This window comes from Homo sapiens, chromosome 18 (genome assembly GCF_000001405.40).
Source record: "Homo sapiens chromosome 18, GRCh38.p14 Primary Assembly".
NCBI classification, from domain to species: Eukaryota; Metazoa; Chordata; class Mammalia; order Primates; family Hominidae; genus Homo; species Homo sapiens.
The window spans coordinates 12,298,545-12,307,314 of NC_000018.10; the positions used below are offsets into that span (position 1 = coordinate 12,298,545).

The 8,770-nt window shown below is 50.0% G+C and overlaps 1 pseudogene; it reads right to left on the minus strand.

Moving 5' to 3' along the window:
• Window positions 5,547-5,650, minus strand: RNU6-170P (RNA, U6 small nuclear 170, pseudogene; annotated as a pseudogene).

Below are 8,770 nucleotides of genomic sequence, written 5' to 3' on the forward strand. Positions count from 1 at the left end.
CTGCTTATTATGGGAGTGCTTTGAAAAATTAGCCAAACTGGGCTGGGCACGGTGGCTCACACCTATAATCCCAGCACTTTGGGAGGCCAAGGCAGCTGGATCACTTGAGGTCAGGAGTTTAAGACCAGCCTGGCCAACATGCTGAAACCCCATCTCTACTAAAAATGCAAAAAAAAAAAAAATTAGTTGGGCATGGTGGCAGGCACTTGTAATTCCAGCTACTCAGGAGGCTGAGGCAGGAGAATTGCTTGAACCCAGGAGGCAGAGGTTGCAGTGAACCAAGATTGCGCCATTGCACTCCAGCCTGGGCAACAAGAGCAAAACTCCCCCTCAAAAAAGAAGAAAGAAAGAGAGAAAGAGAGAGGGAGGGAGGGAGGGAGGAAAGAAGGAAGGGAGGGAGGAAGGAAGGAAGGAAGGAAGTAAGGAAGGAAGGAAGGAAGGAAAGAAAGGGAAGGATAGGAAGGAAAGAGAAAGGAAGAAAGAAAAATTAGCCACACTGTTAGCATAAAAATGCCCAGGAAGCTTCACTAGAAAGTCCTGCATTACTACAATATCTCTGCTCATTCTTCTCATCAAAGAAGGGCAATTTTGTGAGGGTTTCAACAGGAAATCATGAGGCATCCACATTATAGTCCTGATTGGGCTCCTTCTGACTCCTTTTTGTTTCCTAATCTTAGAAAATCTGTAAAGGGCATCCATCTTTTTTCAGTTAACAATGTAAAAAACACTGCATTGGCATCGTTAAATTCTCAGGAGCCTGAGCTCTTTACAGATGGACTAAGTGGCACATCATCATTGACAAAAATGTCTTGAACTTGATGCCATTTATATTGAGAAATAAAGCTTATATTTTCTTTTTATCCTTTAATTCCATTTTTCCATGAACTTTTTGAATTCCTCTTATATACTAGAAATGGATGAGGTTTTTGGTATGTAAATGACCCTTGAGTAAAGCTGTTGGAAATCAGTTTGGGAAATTGTAACAGCATTTAAAAACTGGGATATGCTAGAAAAGAAAATATCAGAGTACATAGCACATACTAAATTTATTTTGTGAGGCTTGTATTCGTGTGTGTGTGATGTGTACATGTGTACTGAATCACTAATATATTTGAAATTATAGGTCAAGTAAAAAAAAGTGAAAACCACCAATTTAGGCTGATTTTCTTAGAAGAGCCTGCCTTTTGCTTTAGATTCTCTCTTCTCCTTTTTTCCCCAAATCTTCCAAGTCCCCCCATACAGGCCAGCTTTGCTGGGTCTTCCAATCCCAGCCCCATTGAGTTGGAGAAACCTTTTCCCTCATTGTCAGAGCAAGCTGAGTGTCACCTGGCATATGTTATCAGAGAGAAGGATACCCTTCTCCAACAGTGCCCTTAGCCCAGAGAAATCTGTCATTAATGACAGAGGTCAAGATGCCATGGTTCTCAGGGACAGGAAGATCATTTAGAGCCAGGAACCCATCCAGAGGTATCCAGGGGCTGGCAAGCATCCCTGTGCCCACAGATGAGGCTGGCCCTGCCCAGAGCCCCATGCTCAGCCCCGTGCTGGAAGGTTCTGTGTGCCTCAGGTATGTCCCATCCAGACAGACTGGAAAGATGCTAGACTGAGAGAGCTTTCATTAGAAGGATTTTAATAGACGTTAAAATATATTTCTGTCACTTGTGCCTCACTTCTCAACTTCTTCTCTACTAACAGTTATAATCATCATGACTGCAACTCAAAGTCCTTACCAAGACCCTCTTTGAATGAGAAAGCTCTGCCATGCCTTCCCTGTCATCATCCACTCTTGCAGCACAGCTGGCCCTCTGTATCTGCGGGTTCCACACCGATGGATTCAACTGACCGTGGATCAGAAATACCCAGAAAAAAAATTATATCTCTACTGAACACATATGGCCTTTGTTTTTCATCATTATTCCCTAAACTATACAGCATAACTATTTACATGGTATTTACATTGTGTTGGGTATAAGTAATCTAGAGATGATTTAAAGTATACAGCAGGTTAGAAGCAAATGCTAAGCCCTTTTATATAAGGGACTTGAGCATCCTTGGATTTTGGCATCCAAAGGAGATCCTGAAACAACTGCCGCAAGAATACCAAGAGCCAACTGACTGTCCTAACACCTCTGTGTCCTCCCATCTTCCACGTGGTGCTGTCATCCACTTCCTAAAATCTCTTCCATGCATTTTATACTTTCTATCTTGGCTGCAATTCCCCATCTGTTCACGTATGGTGTCCACTTTTCCACTAGATCGTCAACATGTTTGTCATAGTTGTTTTAAAGTCCTATTGGATAGTTCCGACATCTGGGCCAGGCCTGGGGTTGGTTCTGCCGATTGCTCTGTCTCCTAACAATAGGTTGGGTTTTCTCTTGCCTTTTCCTATAACTTTTGTAGAGAAAAACGGAAGAGATTGGGATGAATGATATTGATGCCTGGAAATGGGCGTGCCTCTTGTCTTGTATGGACATCACGTCAGTGTGAGAGTTGGAGTTCATCTGGCCAGTGGTGAGCTGGGCTTGGGTCTTATGGTGGTGGTAGTTACCCTCAGAGGCAAAATCCCCTCCAGCAGTGGCCGCTGTGACCCTGGGCTTTATTTATGTTGACTCTGGGCTGTCAGATGATTGTTTTTCTTTAAGAGCTTTACTGAGATCACCTACCATACAACTGACCCATTTAAAGCATTCAATGGTTTTTAATGTAGTCACAGATTTGTGCACCCATCACCACAATCAATTTTAGAACATTTTCATCACCCAAAAAGAAACCTCACTATCCTCGCCTGCACCTGCCACTTTCCTGACCCTACCCAGGCCCTGACGGCCCCTCCTCTACTTTCTCTCTGCTTTCTGTCCTGCTCCTTTCATAGAAGTGGACTCATATAGCATGCAGCCCCCTGCGCCTGGCATCCTTCACTCAGCACTCTGCTGTCCAGGCTCATCCTGTCTCGCACGCGTCAGTGCTTTGTTCCCCCTTATCGCAGCACAGTACTGCATTGTGTGGGTGTCTGTGGGGCGAGGGGTTCTCCCCGCTCCTGTTCCATCCTCAGCTCTCCTGTCCCTGCTTGGCTGGCCCCAGAGGAGGCCTCCCTCCATGCTCTGGCTTGGCATTCAGTGTTTAACTCCTGGTGGAGGCTGGGGAGATGCCAGGTTCTCCTGGTCCAGTCTTGCTCCTGGTCAGGCCCCCTGAGCCTGGGCCTGAGGCTTTCTCAGTGCCCTAGGGCACCCTCCAGGCCATCACACTCTGCCTGGCACTGTGGGGAGTGGCCTGGCCCTGCAAGGGAGCTCAGCTGGGGGAGCATAGCAGCCGCATCTGCACGCCTGCCCCTCTCACCAAAGCCCAGTGGAGGCCCTGGGAAAAGAGCTGCTAAGGGTTGGGTTCCCATGTCTGGGGCTTCCAGGCCCTATGAATGGTGGGACGAGCACACACACGTTGTTCATGGAGCCTGTTAGCATTTGAGACACTCTCCTTCCCACTTTAGGAGCCAGCTTGCCCCTGCTGGGCTTTGCCAAAAGTGGAATAGGTTGCATCTCCTCTCTCCTGGAAAGGCCCTGTCCCTCCTTGGAAGTTAGCTGGAACTCTATGCCCACCAGGCCTGTGCCCACTGCTGTCACCCTATCTGTGGCACTCTGGGACAGCTATTTGGGGCAGGGTCTAGCTCTTTGTATACCTAGAGCCAAGAACAATGCATGGTATGCAATTGACACTTAATATATGTGTACTGCATGAAAGAGAACTGATAAATTAGTGATTCTTAAACAGGGGTGCACGGCAAGATTTCCGGGGAGTGAACCCCCCACCACATCATCCCCACCCCACCTCACTTGGAAGCACTGTCAGCCTTTGATTCAAGCCAGGGGGTCCCTGGGTCGGGCTCCCCCAGCATGAGTTCCCCGCAGAGTGAGCCTCGTGCAAGGCCAAGGAGATTTGCCTCTGTGTTGTAGGCCTCCCTCTGGGCACCCACCCTGGAACTCTCTGAGCCCTGGGCCTGCACCAAGGGATGTGGGCCCCACCAGCCTCCCTGCAGCAGGCCTCACCACCAGCATGTGTGACCCCGCCAGCTCAGGGAGGGTAACCGCTTGGACGTATAGAGCCAGATGTTCACTGTGTTCAAACAGGGCCCCATGGTGCAAACAGGAGTTGCTAAAGATAAGAGGATCAGTTTGAGGGCTGGGGCCAGCTCTCCAACGTGGTCCAAATCAGCAGAGAATTCTGAACGACCCATCAAGAAGTTCTCAATTCAAACCTAGCCTACTAGAGTGACATGAAAGTACATGTTTGTCAAAGCATGAAAATAAAACATACTATTAGTAATATTCCATAACTTTAAACACAGTCATGTGCCCTGTGGGCCCCCATCTGCATACTTACCCTGGGCCCTGCAGATGTAGGGAGGGCCTGTGGTCCACACCCAGCCTCCAGCGAGGGTTGTCTTGCCTGTTTCACACACCACCCTCAGCGTTGGGTGCTCTGGGACCCCACGTTACAGCTGAGGGTCTCAAGGTGCACCGAGGCCAGTCATATGAACTACTGGCCCGTCATAAAGCACATGACTCTAGAGTCAGGCCCACCCCAGCAGTCTGACCTGACAGCCCCGCACTTTGCAGCTTCCCAGAGCCCCTTGTACTATGCTGGGTTGTCCCTGTCCCAGGCACTCCCTGGGACTCTCTAGAACAGGCTCCTCTCATAGCCATTTGGCCTGTGAGCATGGTTCTCTGGTTGATCAAATATTATTATTTTAATACTCTATGTGAAATATTATTTTTCTTTAAAAAAAAATTTTGGCCAGGTGCAGTGGCTCATGCCTGTAATCCCAGCACTTTGGGAGGCTTAGGTGGGCAGATCACGAGGTCAGGAGATCGAGACCATCCTGGCTAACACGGTGAAACCCCATCTCCACTAAAAATACAAAAAATTAGCCAGACGTGGTGGCGGGCGCCTGTAGTCCCAGCTACTCCGGAGGCTGAGGCAGGAGAATGGCGTGAACCTGGGAGGTGGAGCTTGCAGTGAGCCGAGATCACGCCACTGCACTCCAGCCTGGGCCACAGAGCAAGACTCCGTCTAAAAAAAAAAAAAAAGAAAGAAAGAAAATGGACAAGTCAACAGCCAAGTAGGGCGTGTACTTTTGTAGGTAAAAAGTCTACCCAGTAGCTGTTTGGGTGACAGTGTTTTTGCTTACCGGCATCCACTTCTGTCCTTTTTCCAAGATCATGAAATGCATCTCAAAAAAAAAAAAATTTTTTTTAGGCCAGGCACTGTGGCTCACACCTGTAATCCCAGCACTTTGGGAGGCTGAGGCAGGAGGATTACCTGAGGTCAGGAGTTCAAGACCAGCCTGGCCAACATGGTGAAACCCTGCCTCTACTAATAATACAAAAATTAGCTGGGTGTGGTGATGTGCGCCTGTAATTCCAGCTATTCGGGAGGCTGAGGCAAGAGAATCACTTGAACCCGGGAGGCGGAGGTTTCAATGAGCCAAGATTGCACCACTGCACTCCAGCCTGAGCGACAGAGTGAAACTGTGTCTCAAAATAAATAAATAAATAAATATGAAACGCTTCATGAATTTGCATGTCATCTTTGTGCAGGGCCACGTTAATCTTCTCTGTATCATTCCACTTCTAGTATACTGCTGCCAAAGCAAGCACGAAATATTATTTTGCAAAAGAATTAGAACCCAAGAGAATACATTTAACTTGACTGCGCAAACACAGTCTAGTGTTTAGCAGATCCCCGGGCCGCCTTTATAAACTTTGACTCCCCCATTTGTAACCAAGACTGCTCAGGCCGACTGACCTAAGAACACCATGGATCATGGTTACATTCATCCGCCCATCGATACTGGCCCCTGTGCCCACTCACCAGATCAGGAGGACCATGGCTGCTCTTTCCGGGAGAACCTGCAGAGAGTAAATTCTGACAACGCTTCACTGAAGGCGCCAGATAGCAGGAGAGCTTATTCTCAGCCTAACTCAGAACTGATGCCTGCTTGCCTGGCTTGCTGCTGGGAGCCGCAGGTTCCCTTCCCCAGCGAGGCAGTGGGGAGCAGGAAGTGTGTTCCAGTCCTTGAAGTCCACGTGGCAACTCCCAGGGCCTAGAGAGAGTCAACACTGGGGCACCCCAGCCTTCCCAGCCTCCCCATGGCACCCTCCCACTCTCCACTTCTTGTCCCGGCCTCTGCCTCTCCCTGCACAGTTGGCAGGTGAAATATCCACTTCTTTCTGGAGAAACTCCATATTTTATCTACCAAGAGGAACGTCACATAAAAACACCAGGGTCTGATGTCATTCATTTTTCCAGATTTGGGGGTTTAGTTGAAAATAACACCACTCACGGCCATTACCAGCCTAGTTCAAGAGCCCCATTGGCCCCTCCGGGTCCCCTTCCCCAGGGACTTCTCAGCATTTGGGGAGGACGAGACCCTCCTGTCTTATTCCTTGGTGCAGCCCAGAAAAGGGCGAGAGAGGAAGAAACACTCATCAGCCATCTCCTACGGTCCAGGTGTGTGTAAACACCAGCATTCAAATCTGGGCAGTGAGCCCGGAATCCTCTCTACACATGCATGAAACAGAAGGAGGCGTTCAGAGAAGCAAGACTGTGATCTAAGGCACAGAAGAGACGGGCAAGAGGAGGAGGAAAGTGAGCAGACAGGAGTGCACGGGTAATGTGGCTCGCCCAGAGCACCAAGTCATGAACGCCATCACTGCCTTCGACCCAGGTGAGGGGCCTTGTCCTTGCCTGCCCCCTCCCTACAGGGCCACTGGGATGAGCCCACAGCTCCTAGATGGCACCTCAGCCCCCCGGACCTCAGGAGTCCCTGCCCAGACCTCCCCAAACCTACTCCTAGGGCCCCTTCTTCCCGCAGGGTGGCCTGGGATGGCTGTGAGTGGCTGAGGACTGAAGTGTCCACAGGCATGTACTGGAGACCCATCTCGGCGTGGGACAGAATTGGAGGTGGGGAGAAAGGCGGGTGTTGAAAGTGAGGACTGCAGGCTGAGACCAGCCCCCGCACTTCCACGCCCTGATGCAAATCAACGAGGAGCCCAAGAAGTCTACCGATTTCTTTTTTATTTTATTTTATTTTATTTTTATTGAGACGCGGTCTCACTCTGTCACCCTGGCTGGAGTGCAGTGACATGATCACAGCTCACAGCAACCTCCACCTCCCAGGTTCAAGCAATCAATCCTCCCACCTCAGACTCTGGAGTAGCTGGGTACAGGCATGTACCACCATGCCTGGCTAATTTTTTAACTTTTTGTAGAGACAAGGGTCTCACTATAATGCCCAGGCTGGTCTCGAGGTCCTGGGCTCAAGCAATCCTGCCATGTCAGCTTTGGAAGTTTTGGGATTACAGGCGTGAACCACTGTGCCCGGCCTAGCCTGAGAATTCTAAACTGGAACCTGGCTTTCCAGATACCATGGTGTATTTTTTAAGGTAGGAGAAGAGAATGTGTCCTCTACGCTTTTTTAAGTTTGGTTTGCGGCTTGTGTGCATTTGGACACACCGCGTCACAAACAGCCTCGCCCAGGAGGAGTGAGGGCCACAGATCGGGAGGGTAGGGGGCCCAGAGCCTGGAGAGCCCCAGGCCGGGCTCACAGGTCAGGGTTTCACCTGCCGGCTCCCAGAAGGGAGTGGCCAACAGACACCAGGGAAGTCAGGGTTGGGATTCAAAGAGAGGCCAAGGCTGCAGAGAGACTGGGAGCCACTTTAGGAAAGAAACGTGAATTCAGGCTTTGCACAGCAGAACTGTCCCCATGTCCTGGGGAGGCCTTGGTTCATTCTGCGGGGAAATCCCTTGTGTCTTGCGGGGCCCCGCCTCTGATGAGAGGGAAGGGAGATAAGCTTTGCAGGGGGAAGGTTTCCTCCCGGTCTCCTCACTCTTCGAGCACTGAGTTTCTCCAGACAAAGCGCACTCCGCGGGCACCAATCCCTGCAGACAGCGCAGAGCGCACAGCGAGCAGGAGCCCAGAAACCAGCAGGTCGGCTTGTCCCTTGTCAAATCCAAGTGACAACGGACTTCCGGAAGCCACGCTGACACCTACTTTCTGGCTCGATCAGACCCCTGGACTTAAATTCCAGCCCAAGGGCTAGCACTGAAAGGGTGGCTATTTCAGCAAACGACCAAAGCTTCTAAAGTAGACACTTTCTTTTAAACCACTTGATGGCTGGATTTCTTAGAGAGAGAGACTAAAGCTGGAGGAAGGGTTCTTCCAGGGATGGCACAGGCCCTCCGCTCTCGGGCTCCCCACACTAGACTTCGGGCCGGCAGGATGGGTTAAGGTAGCACTCGTTGGAGTCAATAATTAAGCAATGGAAACAAACAGCCTAAATAAGGGTGTTGAGGACTCAGGAGAAGGTGGCTGATTAATCTCAGGCTCATAGTTTGAAATGGGAGCGCAGGGGCTGGGCTGTGGCCTCCTCATCTGCTCCCTGGGCGTGTGGCTGTGTAAAGAGGTGTGGGGACCCACAAGAAGGCCGAGGAGCAGCACTGGGGTGGAGAGAGCAGTGGGGAGGCGGGGACCCAAGGGTTAAAAAAAAAAATTCCTCAATTTGGAAACATTTGCAAAACTCCAGAAGAAAAACTTTTAAAAGTTCTCCACTCCCTTCCAAACGTACAAACATGCACACACACAATTAGGAATTTCCCAAAGTTTTCATCTGTCTAAAAAGAAAGTGCCAGTGCAAATTACAGAACATCGTCGCTTCCTCATGTGCGGCGTTTCTACGGGCCTGGGAGGGGACGCAGAGGCTACCCCGGTGGTCCC